The following is a 22,820-nucleotide window of genomic DNA, read 5'->3' as shown; positions in this document are numbered from 1 at the left end:
CGGCAGCGAGGCTGGGGGAGGGGCGCCCGCCATTGCCCAGGCTTGATTAGGTAAACAAAGCAGCCGGGAAGCTCGAACTGGGTGGAGCCCACCACAGCTCAAGGAGGCCTGCCTGCCTCTGTAGGCTCCACCTCTGGGGGCAGGGCACAGACAAACAAAAAGACAGCAGTAGTAACCTCTGCAGACTTAAATGTCCCTGTCTGACAGCTTTGAAGAGAGCAGTGGTTCTCCCAGCACGCAGCTGGAGATCTGAGAACCGGCAGACTGCCTCCTCAAGTGGGTCCCTGACCCCTGACCCCTGAGCAGCCTAACTGGGAGGCACCCCCCAGCAGGGGCACACTGACACCTCACACGGCAGGGTATTCCAACAGACCTGCAGCTGAGGGTCCTGTCTGTTAGAAGGAAAACTAACAAACAGAAAGGACATCCACACCAAAAACCCATCTGTACATCATCATCATCAAAGACCAAAAGTAGATAAAACCACAAAGATGGGGAAAAAAACAGAACAGAAAAACTGGAAACTCTAAAATGCAGAGCGCCTCTCCTCCTCTAAAGGAACACAGTTCCTCACCAGCAACGGAACAAAGCTGGATGGAGAATGACTTTGATGAGCTGAGAGAAGAAGGCTTCAGACGATCAAATTACTCTGAGCTACGGGAGGACATTCAAACCAAAGGCAAAGAAGTTGAAAACTTTGAAAAAAATTTAGAAGAATGTATAACTAGAATAACCAATACAGAGAAGTGCTTAAAGGAGCTGATGGAGCTGAAAACCAAGGCTCGAGAACTACGTGAAGAATGCAGAAGACTCAGGAGCCGATGTGATCAACTGGAAGAAAGGGTATCAGCAATGGAAGATGAAATGAATGAAATGAAGCGAGAAGAGAAGTCTAGAGAAAAAAGAATAAAAAGAAATGAGCAAAGACTCCAAGAAATATGGGACTATGTGAAAAGACCAAATCTACGTCTGATTGGTGTACCTGAAAGTGATGGGGAGAATGGAACCAAGTTGGAAAACACTCTGCAGGATATTATCCAGGAGAACTTCCCCAATCTAGCAAGGCAGGCCAACGTTCAGATTCAGGGAATACAGAGAACACCACAAAGATACTCCTCGAGAAGAGCAACTCCAAGACACATAATTGTCAGTTTCACCAAAGTTGAAATGAAGGAAAAAATGTTAAGGGCAGCCAGAGAGAAAGGTCGGGTTACCCTCAAAGGGAAGCCCATCAGACGAACAGCGGATCTCTCGGCAGAAACCCTACAAGCCAGAAGAGAGTGGGGGCCAATATTCAACATTCTTAAAGAAAAGAATTTTCAACCCAGAATTTCATATCCAGCCAAACTAAGCTTCATAAGTGAAGGAGAAATAAAATACTTTACAGACAAGCAAATGCTGAGAGATTTTGTCACCACCAGGCCTGCCCTACAAGAGCTCCTGAAGGAAGCACTAAACATGGAAAGGAACAACCGGTACCAGCCGCTGCAAAATCATGCCAAAATGTAAAGACCATCGAGACTAGGAAGAAACTGCATCAACTAATGAGCAAAATCACCAGCTAACATCATAATGACAGGATCAAATTCACACATAACAATATTAACTTTAAATGTAAATGGACTAAATGCTCCAATTAAAAGACACAGACTGGCAAATTGGATAAAGAGTCAAGACCCATCAGTGTGCTGTATTCAGGAAACCCATCTCACGTGCAGAGACACACATAGGCTCAAAATAAAAGGATGGAAGAAGATCTACCAAGCAAATGGAAAACAAAAAAAGGCAGGGGTTGCAATCCTAGTCTCTGATAAAACAGACTTTAACCAACAAAGATCAAAAGAGACAAAGAAGGCCATTACATAATGGTAAAGGGATCAATTCAACAAGAAGAGCTAACTATCCTAAATATATATGCACCCAATACAGGAGCACCCAGATTCATAAAGCAAGTCCTGAGTGACCTACAAAGAGACTTAGACTCCCACACATTAATAATGGGAGACTTCAACACCCCACTGTCAACATTAGACAGATCAATGAGACAGAAAGTCAACAAGGATACCCAGGAATTGAACTCAGCTCTGCACCAAGCGGACCTAATAGACATCTACAGAACTCTCCACCCCAAATCAACAGAATATACATTTTTTTCAGCACCACACCACACCTATTCCAAAATTGACCACATACTTGGAAGTAAAGATCTCCTCAGCAAATGTAAAAGAACAGAGATTATAACAAACTATCTCTCAGACCACAGTGCAATCAAACTAGCACTCAGGATTAAGAATCTCACTCAAAACCACTCAACTACATGGAAACTGAACAACCTGCTCCTGAATGACTACTGGGTACATAACGAAATGAAGGCAGAAATAAAGATGTTCTTTGAAACCAACGAGAACAAAGACACAACATACCAGAATCTCTGGGATGCATTCAAAGCAGTGTGTAGAGGGAAATTTATAGCACTAAATGCCCACAAGAGAAAGCAGGAAAGATCCAAAATTGACACCCTAACATCACAATTAAAAGAACTAGAAAAGCAAGAGCAAACACATTCAAAAGCTAGCAGAAGGCAAGAAATAACTAAAATCAGAGCACAACTGAAGGAAATAGAGACACAAAAAACCCTTCAAAAAATTAATGAATCCAGGAGCTGGTTTTTTGAAAGGATCAACAAAATTCATAGACCACTAGCAAGACTAATAAAGAAAAAAAGAGAGAAGAATCAAATAGATGCAATAAAAAATGATAAAGGGGATATCACCACCGATCCCACAGAAATACAAACTACCATCAGAGAATACTACAAACACCTCTACGCAAATAAACTAGAAAATCTAGAAGAAATGGATAAATTCCTCAACACATACACCCTCCCAAGACTAAACCAGGAAGAAGTTGAATCTCTGAATAGACCAATAACAGGATCTGAAATTGTGGCAATAATCAATAGCTTACCAACCAAAAACAGTCCAGGACCAGATGGATTCACAGCCGAATTCTACCAGAGGTAGAAGGAGGAACTGGTACCATTCCTTCTGAAACTATTCCAATCAATAGAAAAAGAGGGAATCCTCCCTAACTCATTTTATGAGGCCAGCATCATTCTGATACCAAAGCCTGGCAGAGACACAACCAAAAAAGAGAATTTTAGACCAGTATCCTTGATGAACATCGATGCAAAAATCCTCAATAAAATACTGGCAAACCGAATCCAGCAGCACATCAAAAAGCTTATCCACCATGATCAAGTGGGCTTCATCCCTGGGATGCAAGGCTGGTTCAATATATGCAAATCAATAAATGTAATCCAGCATATAAACAGAGCCAAAGACAAAAACCACATGATTATCTCAATAGATGCAGAAAAAGCCTTTGACAAAATTCAACAACCCTTCATGCTAAAAACTCTCAATAAATTAGGTATTGATGGGACGTATTTCAAAATAATAAGAGCTGTCTATGATAAACCCACAGCCAATATCATACTGAGTGGGCAAAAACTGGAAGCATTCCCTTTGAAAACTGGCACAAGACAGGGATGCCCTCTCTCACCACTCCTATTCAACATAGTGTTGGAAGTTTTGGCCAGGGCAATTAGGCAGGAGAAGGAAATAAAGGGTATTCAGTTAGGAAAAGAAGAAGTCAGATTGTCCCTGTTTGCAGATGACATGATTGTATATCTAGAAAACCCCATTGTCTCAGCCCAAAATCTCCTTCAGCTGATAAGCAACTTCAGCAAAGTCTCAGGATACAAAATCAATGTACAAAATCACAAGCATTCTTATACACCAACAACAGACAAACAGAGAGCCAAATCATGAGTGAATTCCCATTCACAATTGCTTCAAAGAGAATAAAATACTTAGGAATCCAACTTACAAGGGATGTGAAGGACCTCTTCAAGGAGAACTACAAACCACTGCTCAAGGAAATAAAAGAGGATACAAACAAATGGAAGAACATTCCATGCTCATGGGTAGGAAGAATCAATATCGTGAAAATGACCATACTGCCCAAGGTAATTTACAGATTCAATGCCATCCCCATCAAGCTACCAATGACTTTCTTCACTGAATTGGAAAAAACGACTTTAAAGTTCATATGGAACCAAAAAAGAGCCTGCATCGCCAAGTCAATCCTATGCCAAAAGAACAAAGCTGGAGGCATCATGCTACCTGACTTCAAACTATACTACAAGGCTACAGTAACCAAAACAGCATGGTACTGGTACCAAAACAGAGATATAGATCAATGGAACAGAACAGAGCCCTCAGAAATAACGCCGCATATCTACAACTATCTGATCTTTGACAAACCTGAGAAAAACAAGCAATGGGGAAAGGATTTCCTATTTAATAAATGGTGCTGGGAAAACTGGCTAGCCATATGTAGAAAGCTGAAACTGGATCCCTTCCTTACACCTTATACAAAAATCAATTCAAGATGGATTAAAGACTTAAACGTTAGACCTAAAACCATAAAAACCCTAGAAGAAAACCTAGGCATTACCATTCAGGACATAGGCATGGGCAAGGGCTTCATGTCTAAAACACCAAAAGCAATGGCAACAAAAGCCAAAATTGACAAATGGGATCTAATTAAACTAAAGAGCTTCTGCACAGCAAAAGAAACTACCATCAGAGTGAACAGGCAACCTACAAAATGGGAGAAAATTTTCGCAACCTACTCATCTGACAAAGGGCAAATATCCAGAATCTACAATGAACTCAAACAAATTTACAAGAAAAAACAACCCCATCAAAAAGTGGGCGAAGGACATGAACAGACACTTCTCAAAAGAAGATATTTATGCAGCCAAAAAACACATGAAAAAATGCTCATCATCACTGGCCATCAGAGAAATGCAAATCAAAACCACAATGAGATACCATCTCACGCCAGTTAGAATGGCAATCATTAAAAAGTCAGGAAACAACAGGTGCTGGAGAGGATGTGGAGAAATAGGAACACTTTTACACTGTTGGTGGGACTGTAAACTAGTTCAACCATTGTGGAAGTCAGTGTGGCGATTCCTCAGGGATCTAGAACTAGAAATACCATTTGACCCAGCCATCCCATTACTGGGTATATACCCAAAGGACTATAAATCATGCTGCTATAAAGACACATGCACACGTATGTTTATTGCGGCACTATTCACAATAGCAAAGACTTGGAACCAACTCAAATGTCCAACAATGATAGACTGGATTAAGAAAATGTGGCACATATACACGATGGAATACTATGCAGCCATAAAAAATGATGAGTTCATGTCCTTTGTAGGGACATGGATGAAATTGGAAAACATCATTCTCAGTAAACTATCGCAAGAACAAAAAACCAAACACCGCATATTCTCACTCATAGGTGGGAACTGAACAATGAGATCACATGGACACAGGAAGGGGAATATCACACTCTGGGGACTGTGGTGGGGTTGGGGGAGTGGGGAGGGATAGCATTGGGGTATATACCTAATGCTAGATGATGAGTTAGTGGGTGCAGCGCACCACCATGGCACATGTATACATATGTAACTAACCTGCACATTGTGCACATGTACCCTAAAACTTAAAGTATAATAAGAAAAAAAAGTACATATCTAATTTAAAAGAAGCAATTAGAAAACTGGAGATAAATTCTGTTCCTAGACCCATCATCAGTGACCTAGGTCTCCTTTCAAGTTTTCTGTTCCTTCAAGACAGAATACATTCCACTGAAATTTTCTTCCCACTTTCTTCATAAGGAAACTGTGGGTATTACTGACCCAACTTCCCCCCAAAATACTTTAAGCCTCCTAATTGCAGATATCTCGAAATAGAAGTGTCAAGTAATACTCAAAAATCTAGAGTATCTTTTCCCATAAAAGCCACATCTACCTTTTTAAAATGAAATATAAAAATAGCAAATAAAATTCCATAAAAGATTATTTATGTGCAGCTTGTATTTAGAATATAAACTCTAATGGTCAAATACGTAAACAGTAAGGAAAGAGATATATAGTCAATGTAGGTGTTCAGTAAAACAAACTGTAATGCCACCCATGGATACAGCTTATGAATTAAGGAATAATTCTGGCATAAAATAAATCTAACGTTTTGGAGAAGCAGCACATCAGAGCATAAGGGAATCTCACTCATTTGACTCAAGGAAACATGACAATTATTTCCCTCCGATTTTATACAATAAACTCACAGATTATAAATTTGTGGAAATTTCCTATTGGTAGGCATTCTGAAAAATCAACAAAATACCTGAAGAAGAGCACTCATTTGCCACTTCCTCTTGGATCATTATAAGAACATTCTTTCAGCATCTTGACAGTAAACAGCAAACAGGGTAACACAACCCAAGAGAGTTCATGCCTAGAAGAAAACCCCAACATTTTATTTAAATGATGACATTGCAAAGAAAACTCAGCTGAAATGACACACATGCTTTTTACAGGACTTGGCAGACAGAACACTAAACAACTAGGTTCTGACTCTGACTTAGCCACAGATCTTCCGTGGAGCTACATGGGAAAATAAGAAGCCCTAATGTCAGCTCTCTGACTTTATCTCTAAATAAAGAAGTAATTTTGAAGGTGTGGCTTGTAGGTACATTGTTCTATATTTTTAAAACAAATTCTAGGCTCTACATTTTTTTTTATTTTTTTGAGACTGAGTCTTGCTCTGTCACCCAGGCTGGAATGCAGTGGCACAATCTCAGCTCACTGCAACCTCCGCCTCCCAGGTTCAAGCAATTCTCCTGCCTCACCCTCCTGAGTAGCTGGGATTACAGGTGTGTGCCACCACACCTGGCTAATTTTTGTATTTTTAGTAGAGATGGGGTGTCACCATGTTGGCCAGGCTGGCCTCAAACTCCTGACCTCAGGTGATCTGCCTGCCTCGGCCTCCCAAAGTGCTGGGATTACAGGTGTGAGCCACCGCGCCCGGCCCAACTGTATTATTAACTAGAATGGGGACTTAAAAATGTGATCAGGTGTAAGATGCTTGTCCATGCCCCTGACTCCAACACTGTTAGACTGGGCCCCTTACCCCTTATCATGTCCCCCCAATACCACAATACACCACATACATGCTGGCACAGCATTCCTTTTCTTTAGAGAGATTACTTTTCAGGTGGAAAACTTGTTAGCTTAGATTCTACAATTAAATATTATCCTGGATCTCTGTCAGAGATTAAATACATATGAATTCGTGTGAGGATAGCTCCCTTTCATAATGTCCATTTTACTGCTGCATGCCACAATATGATGAAAAGGTCCAATTGTTTCTGGATATAAACATAAACTTGCAGAGATCTGTTAGATCCTTTAGAAGATAAAGCAACTCTTGGCATTATTATGAATTATTTGTCTAGGAAAGTCAGTGCCAAAACAAAGGAAATCTCAAAACTCAAACCCAAACCAGACAGTAGTCCATTCTCTTGCATTTATACCCTATCAACATTGGATCTTACTCACTTCAGGAGTGAAAAAAACAAAAACTAAAACAAAAACCTCTTTGACGGCAGGTCAAGATAGCGTGCGGCTATCAACCCAACCTACATACACGTGCACACATGCCTGCACGCACACACGCAAACACAACACACAACATAAACACACACACACACACACACACACACACACAGGTTTCTCCCTTTCCCCAGAAAGCATTTATAGTAAATATCCATCCAGACAAAAGCCTCCGTTTTCCTACTGCTTTTGTGTGCTGTGGCAGGAAGCAGTTGTCGGCTGCATTCGTGAAAAATAACAACTGTAGACACTGAGACACATGCCACAATGTTCCCGTGGAAATCAAACTCTGAGAAATTTTTTAAATGTTTTCAACACATCAGCATGAAGCATCGACCTAGTTGGAATCACTTAGATCTAAAGCAAATGCACTGATTGTTTTCACAGCAGGCTTTTCTTCTTGGAGCTGAAACAGGCGCACTGGCGAGGGTTGTGAGGAAAGGTTTGCAGCCCCCTGCCTTGGTCTGCTATAGCCAGTGACACGATCAATACCAGGGTGAGCAGCAGAGGAAGCTCAGGGAAGATTATGAAGATGAGGTGAGTGACAGAATTACCTTATAGGGTTTGTTCTTTCTCTCACCTTGAATCTCATCTGCCACAGATGAGATGGAAAACCATCAGGGCACAGACCAAAAACAAGAAAGGGTTGAAGGGCATTAGACATCATATGTGCTGAGAGCCTGGCCATTGTGTCTTTTCACATGTTAGAATCCTCAGGAAAGGGCAAGTCCTATAGCAAATCAGGGCGGCATCACATTAACGAGAAGACAAATGCCAGGATCTCTTGCAGGGCCCGGAGCACAGCAGGTGGACCAATAATTGGCAGCCCTGATTTTCAGTATATTTTTATTACTGTTAATACAACTACTTCTCCTATTTTACTTTTTAGTCCCAGACAAGTATCATTCATGTAAATAATATACATATATAAAGTACCAACTTTCCAGGTTAAACTGTGGGATGAAGTGCGGACAAGACTAAATGTGCCTTAGGTGCCCATCATTTATTTATTGAGGGCCTCCTCTGCACAGGCACTACTAGTCCACAGTTTTCTTCCTCTAACTCAGAGGTCCAAAGATGCCTAAACAATTGAGTCAGCTCATTCACTGGGCTTGTCCTGGAGCTTAACAGAGGCACCAATTTAGTGGAACAAATTCTCATTCAAAATGTCCAGAATGCAAGGAAACAGGAAAATCTTCTATTGTCTATCAATCTGATTGAACAGTTCTGACCAACTGAGTAGAGTTGACTGTATTGATAATCAAATGTGCCTAATACTCATATTGACAATAATATGTCCAAGCTATGGCTACTTTTATAATCCAACTCCCTAAAGCTTGAGATTTTTAAAAATATTTCTGTGAAGTTTAAACAGCATATAAGAAGTGTCCAAGAAATTGGAGGCTCTTATTTGTTATTTGTTTCCTTAAGGCACTGGGTGAACACAGTGAAAAGGAATATGTTCTAGGCCTTCCCAATTATTATTACCAAAACATCAAGATGAATTGTTATCAGAGATTTTATTCTGATTCTTTGAAAAATATATATAAACGTTTATATGTATATCTCATTTTAAACGGAATGTCTATTCATTGAAAAGTTAAAAAAAACATGATTCTCCAAACCTAAAAATTATCACTGCCGAAAGTTTGGTTATTTCTTTATGGTCTTTTTTTCTACACTTTTAAAATTTACATAATTAGAACCATACTACATAAGCTATTTTTTTTCACTTAACATTACACATTATATCATAAGCATATACCCAGGTCAATTTCTTTGAAAACAATTGTAACGTCACATGATTTATGGATTTAATATGCTTAATCACTCCCTTCTTTTTTTTTTTTTGAAACGGAGTCTCCCTCTGTCGCCCAGGCTGGAGTTCAGTGGCGCGATCTTGGCTCACTGCAAGCTCTGCCTCCCAGGTTCACACCATTCTCCTGCCTCAGCCTCCCGAGTAGCTGGGACTACAGGTGCCTGCCACCACGCCCAGCTAATTTTTTTTTTTTTTTTGTATTTTTAGTAGAGACGGGGTTTCACCATGTTAGACCCGATGGTCTCGATCTCCTGACCTCGTGATCGCCTGCCTCAGCGTCCCAAAGTGCTGGGATTACAGGCATGAGCCACCGTGACCAGCCCAATCACTTCCTTCTTTTAAGACATCAGATGCTTCCTTTTTGTGTGTGAGTGCTAATATAATTTCTTTATCCAGGTCGCTGAGTATTTCCTAAAAGTAGAATTACTAGATCAAAGGTGAAAACAACTTACTATTTTTGTGGTTTATTTCAAAAATCGTCTTTTTGCCTTTGAACTTTAGAATTTAAATTTTGAAGTTAGAAAAAGGAAAAAAAAAAGAAAATGTTTTCAAAATATCCTACAAGAGATTAACATTTTAGTATGTCCTTGATGGCTTTTTGTACACATCCATAAATATTTAGATATGCATCTCATCTTTCTGTATTATTTATAAAACAGAAGCATGTAGTACAAATGTACTACAATCTGCTTTGTCTGGTTAACTAAATAACTGAGATTCTTTCCATGTCATTAAAGTCTTCCAGATTCGGAAACGAAGATAACTAAATTGTGTTGGCTTTCCACAAGTGCTGTCCCACAGATTATGAATGAGTCTTAGTATAACTAACAGCAACTCAGCAAATTTTAAAACGCTCTTTTCATAGTCTAACATTAATACTAAATCATAAAGGAAACCTTCATATTTCTATGCAGAGGACATTTTGGCAGCAGAGGGAGGAAAAGGAAGAGAGGAAAGGGCAATGCCGGGAAGAAGATATGCATCAGAAAAAATTCAAAAATTCCCCGGAGGGGAAAAACAACTTGTAGTCACTTGAAGAAACTGATCAAATCAATAAATTACCAAAGCAGTAAGTCAGTAATCAGTTTATTGCTCTAAAATGTTATTTTTCTCCTTAATACTTTGTAAATCACTGGCCGGGTGTGGTGGCTCACACCCATAATCCCAGCACTTTGGGAGGCTGAGGTGGGTGGATCACATGAAGCCACAGATTCGAGACCAGCCTGGCCAACAAGGTGAAACCCATTTCTACTAAAAATATAAAAATTAGCCAGGCATAGCGGCACGTGCCTGTAGTCCCAGCCCCTTGGGAGGCTGAGGCACGAGAATTGCTTGAACCCTAGAGGCAAAGATTGCAGTGAACTGAGATTGTGCCACTGCACTCCAGCTTGGGCAACAGAGTGAGACCCTGTCTCGAAAACAACAACAACAACAACAACAACAAAACTTGTAAATCACTAACCTCAAGGCAAAATCAACCTTATATTAACAAACTGGTTTCAAAATCTCTGGATTTTGCCTAAGGAAGAGCAGAGTAATAGTAATCACTTTGTTTCTCCTAGAATTCATTACCTATCAAAGAAAATGCGTAAACTCTAGAAGTATTGCTTGCTCCTTTGCCACAAAGTGTACATTCAAGAGTAAATTGTTTAAAGCCAAAGGTAAGACTAAACAACTTATTTAATATCATCCTGTCTGTTATTTCTAGGTCTTCTTTGATAACATGTCAAGGAGTTACATTTGACATAGCCCTGTTATTTTTACCACAGGTTAGTTTTAAACCCCATTGTGGCTTATAATCAACATTACCATCAACATCACCAACAAATCACATCACCATGACTATCACCACCACATCATCACTATCACCAACATCATCATCACCATTCACATCATCATCCCCATCACCATCAGCAGCATCATCACATCACCATGACTATCATCACATCACCATGACTATCATCACATCACTACCATCACCATCATCATTACATCACCATCACTATCACCATCACATAACCACCATCACCAACATCACCATCACCATTACCATCACCATTATATCATCATCACATCACCATCAACATCATATCACCATCACCATCACCATCACCACCACCATTATCACCATTTCTCCCATGGCAGCACCAGCCGTGGTCAACAGGTTGACCATGCAACCTTTAGGAGAGAGCTCAGACATGGTCTTCCCACATATCCTCATCTAAAGTAGATTTCCCATCCTCAATCATAATTCACTAGCTTAGTAATAATTTTCATTTCCTTTCTGGTGCATACCACAAATTGAGATTCTCCTTTTATTTTTTACTTGTTTCTCATCTGTTTGCTTGTCTACAATGCAAGCTAGGTGAGAACAGGGACCACAGTTATCTTAGTAATCTTCTATCCCCAGGATAGATGCCTGACCCATAACAAGTACTCGATAAAAATCACATGAATTAAATAATATATCGCCTATTATCAACTCTTTGTTTATAAACTCTAACCCAATGCAAAAAAAAAAATCAAAATGGCCTGTGTCAAAGAATGATCTTTCTAGTATATTTCATCTCATTATGGAAATTTAATGCTGCTATACCCATAAGTCATTTTAAACTATTTACCAACTATGCAGGCACAATCAAGAACATCAAGGTAGAAAAGTAACCTGATAGGTCACACAGGTTAAAAGGTAAGGAACTATTCACTCAAAAACATCTCTCTCATCTTCCCAATATGAAATTTCCACCATTAAATTTATCTTTAAGGATAATATACTGTAATGCCATGAAACTCATTTTAAACGATAAATACTGCATGTTTACTCACATATTAATACCTAGGTATGAATTCAGTTACAGATTATTTGAACAAACAACACTGGGCAGGTCATTTTTTGCTTGCCAAGGACCAAGGTGTTGGGAGATCTAAGGAAAAGGAAAGGCCACGTGATTGATAAGGAAGGACCAACAGTGCACAGGAGACCCTCTGCATGGGGCAGAGAAGATACAAAAAGGACAGGAGTGGGAAGTCAAGTCTCTGTTGACCCTGATCTTTTCTAGATACTCTATAAACAAAATGTCAGAGTGTTTTTGTTCCATTTCAACAAATATGTTTGAGTGACCCAATTTATAGCATTGGGAGAAACAAAAATTGGTCTTGAGGCCAGGGCTATGAATGCATATGAGAGATTAATATCTCATTGTAAGTTGGGAGGGTGTGTGTGTGTGTGTGTGTGTGTGTGTGTGTGTGTCTGTGGGTATGTTGAGAAAATGGAGAGGGTGGAGATGTAGAAGAAATGAAGAGAACATTTAGCAGAAGATAGACAGTGGAGAGCAGTCTGATATTAGTGGCTGTTGTGTAATAAACATTGGTAAAAATATTGTATTTGCTTCACTAGACAGTCCAAGTGATCGCTAGAAGTAAAAGCCTTATAAGTGAATCAGTGTTAAACAGTAAGAGGCTTCCCATTTAGAAAAGCACGCATATTCTGAGGATTTTCCCAAGAGTATATCTATAAGCTTCAAGTAACACAAACAGAAATCTGCTGGCTCAAGGCCAATCTGCTTAAACAGTGTGCTCCAATGTCCCCCCAAACATGCTTGCTGGCACCTGGAGAGGAGAAGCATTTAACTCCACTTGAGTTACCCTAACTGACCCCTGACTGTCCACTGTCCACTTTCCTTAGCTTGCCATTCACAAAGATGAATTACAAAACGAACTAAAATGAGGGCTGGTAATTTTTTCCAGGTTTCAAGAAGCTCCCTCTAAAAAATCTCTCATTATGAACAGAAAATAAAAAGTTTTAGTACCTACTTTAGGGAAAAAAGCAAGTACATTTCATCTTTGGTGGCATGAGACAGGATAAGACAACATATTTGTTCTGTGCCATCGTGCCTAGGAACATCTCATAACCAGACTGATTGTTGAATTGATCCCCTTTTCAAAATGTACATGTAATTAAATGGTACGCCCCAACAAAGCAATAATAAATCTAAAAGTGGGCTTTCAAAATATTAATGTCACAGCGTTACTAGCAAAAAAGACTATTAAGCACAGCATTGTCATTGCAAAAAGCACGTAAACCTGTCATTGGATATGTCGACCAAACAGGAGGCCTAGGGTCAGAGAGACGAGTTAGGCATGGAAAGATTGTACAGTTGTCACCTCTGCATAGACAAGGATGGCTAGCAAGGGCTTATTTTAGGTGGGAAAAAGCCTATGGTTCCCACAACAACAGTAACTTAACCAGTTACACATATAGTATATTATGACATGAAAGTTGACACCACATACAGAAATACTAAATACTACATATGCTTGAGGGGTACAAGTTATTGTTGCTATGGGAGCTGTAAGTTCTGAATGGCGATAAAAATGGAGTACCTGAACAGCCTTGGATCATGCCTTTATGAAAACCCTGTGCATTCATACACTTGACAAATCTTTATTGAGTGCCTACTATGTGTAAAGAATTGTGCTACAGGCTGCGGGAAAATATGGCCCCTGCCTCCAGTAGCTAATAAAAAAGTATCCAGTGGGACCTTACAGTTTTACAAGGACTGAGGGAATTTCTCCCTCTGTAGCCAAACAGTATATTCCACATTTTTCAAATGTCATGTAAAGAAGCCTGTATAGGGGAGATGCTATTAGGATCTATCCCAAAATGCCTTCTACTTAACTCCAGCATCTGACTCCTAAAGAACATAGCCCATTGCTATGTTCTCCACTGTTGAGTCATTAAGCATAATTGTTGGTCTACTCTTTCTTCCCTTGCCCTCTTCCAACTCACCCTTATATCAACTAATGTGATTAACAACAGCTGGGTGCAGTGGCTCACGCCTGTAATCCCAGCACTTTGTGAGGCCGAGGCGGGCGGATCATGAAGTTAGGAGATCGAGACCATCCTCGCTAACATGGTAAAACCTGGTCTCTACTGAAAATAAAAAAAAAAAAAAAAAAAAAAATTAGCCGGGTGTGGTGGCAGGCGCCTGTAGTCCCAGCTACTTGGGAGGCTTAGGCAGGAGAATTGCTTGAACTTGGAGGCGGAGCTTGCAGTGAGCCGAGATCATGCCACTGCACTCCATCCTGGGTGACAGAGCAAGATACTGTCTCAAAAAAAAAAAAAATGTGATTAACACCAAGAATATCTTTACTGCTTAAATTTTCCTAAAATTCTCCTTGCATTGAAAATACTTTACAGAACATGTCAATACTTATTTAAATTTGTTCAGATCTCCTAATGGCATTTATGTATCCCATGACATCTCAATAAATATCAAAATATTTGTACGTCTACATATAGGTATGATTTTTAAAAATGAGATCATATTGTATGTGATGTAAACTTCTCTCATTGGGAAACTCCTTTCATTGGGACCTGAGCACTGCAACCCTATCTTCCTGACTTGTTAAAATTCACTCAAGTACACTTTAATCGCATAGGACAGCTGAAACTAGAATGTACCTGATAGAGAACATGGGAGAAGATTCCCTCCACCACCCCAATCTTGGGAACTTGCAAGGTCTAGGAGATGTCACAGGTAATTTATTAACTGCAATGAGGAGTAAAGCAATAATTAAGTGCATATATTGTTCACATGACTGTTGAAAAGGGGCTTGAGGAGAGATAAATAGAGGAGGGAAAGATAAAAGACTTGATCATTTAAAAATTCTTCGGAGAAAATAAATGTACATATAAAAAGAATTTTGCAAAGAATATTCTCTGTTTTTCCCATTTTTCTAAACCAACAAGATCTTATGCTTAGAGACCAGTCAAAAGTGGCTTGAGAGTTGTGATGTAAGTGCCCAGAGAACAGGACTCAGGACTCTTCCAGGTTTGGCCACTGCCTTTGAACAAATCAGTTAATCTCTTTGAATTAAAACAAGGGTCTTGGGTCTGTTGGACTTGATAATCTCTTTCCTCTAAAAATTCTAAAACTATATAAAATTCATCCTTCTTCAGGGAAGGAGCAACTTATCACATTTGTTTACATATACCCATACGTGCCATCAGTCCATAACAGCTGGGACCTTGTTGTATCTGGAGGGCTAAGAAATTTGCTTAACAAATACTCAATAAGCATTTGTTGGGTGAATGAATTTTTTTCACCATCTGCCAATGTTTGTGTTTGGTGGGTCTAGGTTCAAGGCTGTGTGCTGAACACATATCTACATAGGGGGTAATCCCCTAGAGGTCATCATCAAGGGGAAATAGAACACAGGCTTATAATACCCCTAAAAGAAAACAGAATGTGGATGCCAAAAAGAGGCACGATGTGCTCTAAGGATTCAGATGAGGCCAGGCTGGTTCAGGCAGACAGGTAGAAGATTGCTGCAGGAGCTATTGCTTCAGAAGGATGGACAAGATTTAAGTAAACACAAATTGTTGTGGAAGTTCAGAGATAAGGAAGAAAGAAACTGCAGATGTTTGAGAAAAGTGAGTAGTCTAGTTCAATTAGACTAGAGTGTAGAGTCTGAACTGGAGGAGTGAAAGAAAAAAAACAAACCAGGAAAAGACAGGATGGGGCTTTGCATGACCTCATGTTTCAGAATAGGGAAGAATGCATTCCAAGCCATGTCTAAAGGAAATTATCCAGAATCTGGCTCAATAGTGAACAAAGTCAACACAGAGCAGGTGGAAATCTGGGTTCTTCTCCCAGTTTCAGTGAGAGCCCCACTGCCTTTCTCTGCTCTACATTTGGGGCTTCTGAAGTTAAATTTGTTTGAAAAAAAGAAATGTGTGAAGGTCACTGATGTACAGAAAACATAGGAACAGGAAGACTAGAGAGGAATTATGTCAATAATTCAGGCAAGAGGAACAAAAGTCTGGAAGGGAGGGTGGAGCAAGACTGGATAAAGAGATTTTTCAACCCAGGTAGATTCCATGTGCTCTGTCCATTCATTAAAGGTGGGGGGAGTCAAGGTGACTGAGGGCCCAAGATTCAGTGAATGGAAGGCTGTCAGCCTTTGCGGATATAAGCAAGTCAAGAGGTATAAACATAGAGTAAGCCTGCTTGAACTTGAACCTCAACTTTGCCACTTTTTCATGTTGAAATAGATATACAAGCAGAGTTGTTAGAACAGTCTGGCACACAGTAAAAGTAAAAAGTAAGTGCTGTTATTCTTTCAGGTGGAGTGGATTTGTAGGAAAGATGCCTTTAGCATCCAACATGATGCTTGTGAAGGGAAAGTCATGGATGTTTTCTAGGTAGATAATGCTCTAAAAAAGTGGTCAAGGCTGCAAGTGGATGAAAGAATAGATAGAAATAATAGTTGGAGTTACTAAAGCTGATGGGAATACTGAAGAAAGAGAAGAACCTGTGAGCAAACCTTGGGAATGACTCTTTCTGGAGAGAAGGAGGATGCAATAGCAAGTTAAATAAATAGAAGAGAGGTAAGAAAACTGGGAGTAGAAGGTTAGGGTCAAAAAAGCCAAGCCCCAGCTGGGTGCAGTGGCTCACATCTATAATCCCAGCACTGTGGGAGGCCGAGGCGGGCAGATCACCTCAAGTCGGGAGTTTGAGACCAGCCTGGCCAACATGGTGAAACCCCATCTTTACTAAAAATACCAAAAATTAGCCAGGCATAGTGGCAGCCACCTGTAATCCTAGCTACTCAGGAGGCTGAGACAGGAGAATCGCTTGAACCAGGGAGGTGGAGGTTGCAGTGAGCCGAGATCGCGCCATTCCACTCCAGCCTGGGTAACAAGAGCAAAATTCTGTCTAAAAAAAAAAAAAAAAAAAAAAGCCAAGCCCCTTACTAAGGAGCTTCAAGAAGCATGACCAGCAATATCTTGCACAAAAGGCAAAGATGGATGAGCACTTCCATTTCTTCCACAAGGAAAGTTTAAGTACTGAAGAAGCAAGAATGTGAGGATAGATACAAGAAGTAAATGGGTGGCAATAATCAGATTAACTCATGTACATGTAGTGTTTTCTGTGAGTCAAGCACTGTGCTTCATTCTCTACATGAATTATCTTATGTGTAATTCTCACAGCAACCCTCTGAGGTAGTGATTTTTATAACTCTTGCTTCACTGTTCAAGAACTGAAACACAGAGGAGCTAAGTTGTGCAAGGTATAAAAGCTATAAAAGGTGATGGGCCTGGTATTCAAATGCTCATAAAGAATTTTGCTAGAGACTGTGGGAAAATATGGCCCCTGCCTCAAGTAGCTAATAAAAAATTATTCATTGGGACCTTATAATTCTACAAGGACTGAGGGAATTTCTCCCTCTGTAGCCAAACAAATATTTTAGTCCTCTCTCTTTTTTTTCATCACAAAGGGAATTTTATTTTATTTATTTTTTGTATTATACTTTAAGTTTTAGGGTACATGTGCACAACGTGCAGATTTGTTACATTTGTATACATGTGTCATTTTCAGTCCTCTCTTAACCACTTAGCAATATTGCCTTGAAGATGCAGGAGAAACAAATGCCAGAGAGTGGGCCAGTGAGAAGGACAAGTTTCAGAGGTCAAATTCTTGGAAGACAGCTTCTTTAACAATATCTTTTCTAATTAAGTTGTCCTGATTTGTATAATTCTAATCATTCTCCAAGACACAGAATGGATAGATGTTCATGAATTCCCAAGGAATCTCTGGAAAGCAACTTAGTACTTTTGATCCCTTTTTAAAACACAAGTAATGGAGGAACATTGAGCTATGAAGAAGACACCTCTGAAATTAAGCATTGGGTTTCAAATTCTATGGTCAATATAATGAATATGCATGGCTTTCCAGGGATTTCTGCAATACATGGCTTTCCAGGGATTTCTTCTGGGGAAATGTTTGAAAAGCTTTCAATAAGAAGATCTGAGTTGATCAGTCTGTCAATGGGGATTCTTGGAAGTTAAGGACTGGGGAAGTAAGATGGCAGCAGGTTGTAGAAAGTTTAAATTCACCACATTAGTGGGTGGGTGAGCAGAATGACAAGATACAAAATGGCAGGTTTTTAGGTTTTATCTGGAATTGAGGGCATTGTGAATTGGAATGGGAACTGAAGGAGTGAGGAGAGCAAAGTAGAGCTCTGAAGTGAGGAGGGACTGAACCAGGGAACCAGGGAGGGGAAGAGTAGTGGTAAAGAAAACTGGGAAGTGGGGAAAACAAAACAGAGCCAGCTGGATTCTCTGACCACACAACTCTTCTTTATTCAGAGTGTCACTGATTAGCACCTCCAGACTCAACCCTCTCCCCAGCTCTGCTCACCAACCCTGTCACGGGCATGGTGAGGAGCATTCATGTATGTCAGCCTCTAGTCCTACTCTGCCCCCATGCCCTGGGTTCAACAAACTGGCAGACACTTTTTTTCTGTGCCCAAAGCCTCATTTGCACCTTTGTCCTGGCAAATGGATTTTCCTAGTTCTTCCATGCAGAATTATCCTTCCCTTCCTCCTCTGGGACCTGCAGAATCAATTCCCTGTTTCTCCCGCCTCCCTCCTATTCCTCTTACCTCCTCTGAAACCCACCGAGTACCAGTCATTATACCACCATGACACAACACTGTTTTGCAAAACCTCTGCCTGGCTTTCCTGACCAACTGAGTGACTCCTCACACCCATCCCATCCCACTCTGCTGTCTGTTTCCAATTTCCAGGTTGTTTATTCACTCAGGCACATCAGGTAGCACTCTTGCAGCTTGGAGTTCCCATGTTTTTTAGAAAGAGATGACATGATATTTATCCAAAGCTCAATGAATATAGGAAAATTGAGAATAACAAAGAAGAGTTGGCACTAACAAAATTGACGGGTTCGCCTTTTTATTAGCCTCAGACTTTTTGAATTCTAGGTGGACAAAAGGTTTGTTCAACCAAGTGGAAAAATCACTTCTAGGAGAGATAAGAAAATGAATATTACCCACAGCTGTGAAAGGTACTAAGGAATGACTGAGCTAAATTTTGCCTCCAAAGGGAGAAACTCAAGCCCCTGAGAACATGTTACTCCTTTGGACCAGCAAGAGGCCAGTGCTCCGAAATACGCACTCAGAACACCAGGCATGTTCTTCTTCCACGGAATGCTACGTTGATGCATTAAACTTGGAGTACTTTACACATTTCACAAGTTTTGACTTCTTGTGAAAAGACCAAAAAAAAAGGTTTCCATATACTATTAAAAAAACAAATATGAACCACTGATGTGTGTGTGTGTGTGTGTGTGTGTGTGTGTGTGTGTTTAAAATCCTGCAATTCAAATATCAGTGTTGATCAGTGTCAGTTCAAGTGCTAGACAGATTTTCCCTTAGGTTATTTCTGGAATCATAAACTTAAACCTGCAACCCCTGAGAAATCCCGATTTCAGTCTCAGACATTATTTCTGACATTTTAAGATACCATTTTATACTTTATAATGTTACACAATCCTAATTTAAAACTTGAAAATTATAACCGTTATGCATGACACTCATTCAAATAAATGAAACCAATCAACACTGCATTTTTTACTGATCTAGTCTAAAATCTTATTTTCTTTTTACCTTTGCCTATATTCCTTTTTCCTTAATTTCTTATACAGAAGAGCAATACTTATTTCATTAAAAAGAATATATATAGGAATATATGTATATGTATAAATAAGCTTCACTACTATGTTGAAAACTGAGCTGAAAAACCAAGAAAAAATTAAATGTCAAGTGATCAAATATTACTATTTGCTTATCTTTATACACAGAAATAAAAAATAGTCCATTAACATAACTTTACTTACACATTATTTTGAGAAAATATTATTCAAGAACCAACTAGAGTAGATCCTAACCTCAAGTCACTGTTTCCAAGTACTACCAAAATAATCTCTTTATTCATTATATTTTATTATTCATTAACTTTGTCAATTTGTAAGTACGCATGAAGCTGCCAATTAACATACTCTTCTGTGGCCTTTTGTATTAAAAGTTTTAAAACTTGATTTGAATAATCCATTTCCCAGACTGTAGAAAAATGAAAATTATTCACAGTCACTTGTACTGCATAAAACATTGCTAAAGTGAATAGTAACACAATATTTCCACCCGGAGTAATATTTCAGAGACTATGTTTTAAAGGTGGCAAAGCGTTAGTTCAGATTTGTTTTTGCCGCAAAAAAATAGAAGAATATTTTCATGAAATCCCTGAAGACAATGATATTGACTTTATAAGCTGTTTTTCAGTCATGCTCCTTTGGTCATGCCTTGTTTATCTGGTCCCCATGTAACTTAAAATCTAGTCAGTGTAAACTCCTGAAACACAAACTCTGTGTCCTCATTCTCCACTCCCCTTTGTCTTTTAAGATCTGTTACAAAGAACCTCGTGTCCCCTCTTCACGTTTTAAGATTCAACATTATGACTTCCTAAAAATAAGCATCTGCTGGATACCATGGTGGTGGCTGCTTAAATTAAACGTGTTATGCAGTATGAATAAGGAACCATGGCTGAGAAGCCCTTTCCTTTTAGACATCATATGAAAATAGAAAATGACTGTTTTCAAGGATAGCCTCATTTATACACTCTGAAATGAAGCTAGGAGCAGAGCGCAAAAAACAAATTCCCAGACAAGGAATGTTGAGAGGGAACAAATGGAGCAAAGGCAACTTGAGGCTTCAAAACCACTTGAGACGAGCATTCTACTGAGGTATAAATTAGGAGAGTGATAGTTGTAACGAAGCAGTCATTCCATAGTGCCCACTGAGCTCCCGCTACAGGCCAGGACATACCTCTAGAGAGACTTAGGAGTTGTATGGGAAGTAGGAGATAAGGGGAAGGAGTAAGATGCTGAGTGTGAAGAGAAAACAACAACCTGTGTGGTCTCTAGCAATGCTTTCAACTCTTCACCTGTTCTGAGATGATTATGGGCCAATTCCATTGTAGAGAAGGGAAGGAGGGGGTATGGAGAGAGAAGAGAAAATGTTATACAGTTAAAGACAGATAAAGATAGAGATGTGAGAGAGAGGGAGAGAGAGAGAGAGAGAGAAGTGAAAGGAAAAGAAACATCTCTGCACCAGTCTAAACTGAAAATACAAAGAGCCGTTAATTCTATTCTATTCAAGCCCCTTTGCTTGGATTTTCAGTCTGGCAATGGCCTCAATAATACACCAATATCACTCTTTCCTGAAAAAAATTGGCTGGAAGGAATTGTCCAGATAAAGAAAGGTGGGAGGAGGCACTCTGTTCCCCTGGGCTCAGGTTTTCATGTGAACATACTTTTCACCCATGCGAGGAGCAATTCTGTATTACATTGGTGCATGACAAGAGTATGACATTCATGGCCTCTAGTCCTATATGTGAATTTGATCTTTTTCCTCTTTGTCCCACTCCCAGTAGGAAGCAGAAACCCTGGGTAAATGGGTCTCTTCCTCAGACCCAAACTTTCCACTGGTAGACTGTACCAAGATCAAAATGCAGGGCACAAGATGCTAGCAAACCAATTTGGTTGCAGGTCTAAAGCCACGGTTTTCAATGAGATTTATAAGTATTAAATGAAAACAAACTAAGAAATTAAAGAAAGGGTCTTATTTATTGTCCCTTGAAACTCTAATAGAATAAAATGAGTGCATGAGGCATGTATTTATCTTTTTATTATTGTATAATGGTAATTGTTCCTAAACATAAATAATAATTGGTTAAGTTAGGGACATACTCTTCTGCTCATTTGTTCATAAACATATTAATAATTTGAGCCCATAATTTGTGCTATGGTATCAAGTTAATGTGCTGACTTTAAGCAAATAACCAGGGGGCAGCATAGTCTCTTGTCTTCAATATTTCCTTCAAATCTCTATTTCTTATAAAGATTTGGTCCAACTAGAAAGAAAGAAAACCACCAAGAAATATTGAAGGAAGGGAGATGTGAATAGACGAGAAAACCTACCAAGATCTTAATGCACAAAATCTCCAACTCGTATCCTTGTCTACTGTGTTGGATTCTAGCACACGTCTCTCTTTTACTCCCTCTCAAAAGATTCAACCCAATTTCCCGCATTGCTGGGCTCTTGCAGGAGATGGTATCAAGGCTCAGCTTATCTGTTTGAACAATGACCATGTCCCCTCCCTGTGATTCAGAGTGATCACTGAAAGGAGGGATGCAGGTGTGGAGAGGTGGCGGTACAAGATATAAGATATATTATATTACAGGCTCCAGACAAAAAAAGAAAAAGAACAACGCTGTCTCTACCAAGCATTATGTTCCCTTCTGATGTTCCAAAGCAGTAAGTGCTTTGTTGAAGATCATGTTGATTTATTTCACCAAATCAGCATTTTGTTTTCTAACCATATATCCATGAGGTCTGGCATGGCTGAATCATTTGTAAAAGCGAAAGGAGATATTTAGGAGTACACTCTATTTGGCCTTACACTCATAACACATAAATGTAAATAAGATAACATTTTGTGAACATTTCAAACTACTAAGTAGAAAGAAAGTTCTCTTTTTCAGCCCCACTCCATCTCCAGGGCCACAATGTTTAAAATGCCATTTGACAGGAAAAAGGTTAGTT

The 22,820-nt window shown here is 39.5% G+C and overlaps 1 protein-coding gene and 1 long non-coding RNA gene across 5 annotated transcripts in view; one reads left to right on the top strand and one right to left on the bottom strand.

The window, feature by feature from the left end:
- Nucleotides 1-22,820, bottom strand: part of POU6F2 (POU class 6 homeobox 2) — a 490,693-nt gene that overhangs the window by 455,465 nt on the left and 12,408 nt on the right. For 3 of the 4 annotated variants that reach the window (NM_007252.4, NM_001166018.2, XM_047419843.1), the window contains one exon: nucleotides 6,270-6,380. The exons of the other annotated variant lie outside the window; for it this stretch is intronic. In NM_007252.4, coding sequence (NP_009183.3) covers nucleotides 6,270-6,287 — 18 coding nt within the window. In that variant the 5' untranslated portion in view covers nucleotides 6,288-6,380. Of the gene's footprint in view, nucleotides 1-6,269; nucleotides 6,381-22,820 lie in introns of those variants that run through there. 4 annotated transcript variants of the gene reach the window in all.
- POU6F2-AS2 (POU6F2 antisense RNA 2) overlaps nucleotides 1-22,820 on the top strand; it is a 33,673-nt gene that overhangs the window by 431 nt on the left and 10,422 nt on the right. Inside the window, exons 2-3 of the long non-coding RNA NR_138047.1 lie at nucleotides 7,925-8,074; nucleotides 10,919-11,017. This is a non-coding gene — a long non-coding RNA (POU6F2 antisense RNA 2). The remainder of the gene's footprint in view (nucleotides 1-7,924; nucleotides 8,075-10,918; nucleotides 11,018-22,820) is intronic.

This window comes from Homo sapiens, chromosome 7 (assembly GCF_000001405.40).
Source record: "Homo sapiens chromosome 7, GRCh38.p14 Primary Assembly".
In the NCBI taxonomy this organism is placed as follows: Eukaryota; Metazoa; Chordata; class Mammalia; order Primates; family Hominidae; genus Homo; species Homo sapiens.
This window is presented reverse-complemented; position numbering and strand designations above follow the sequence as displayed.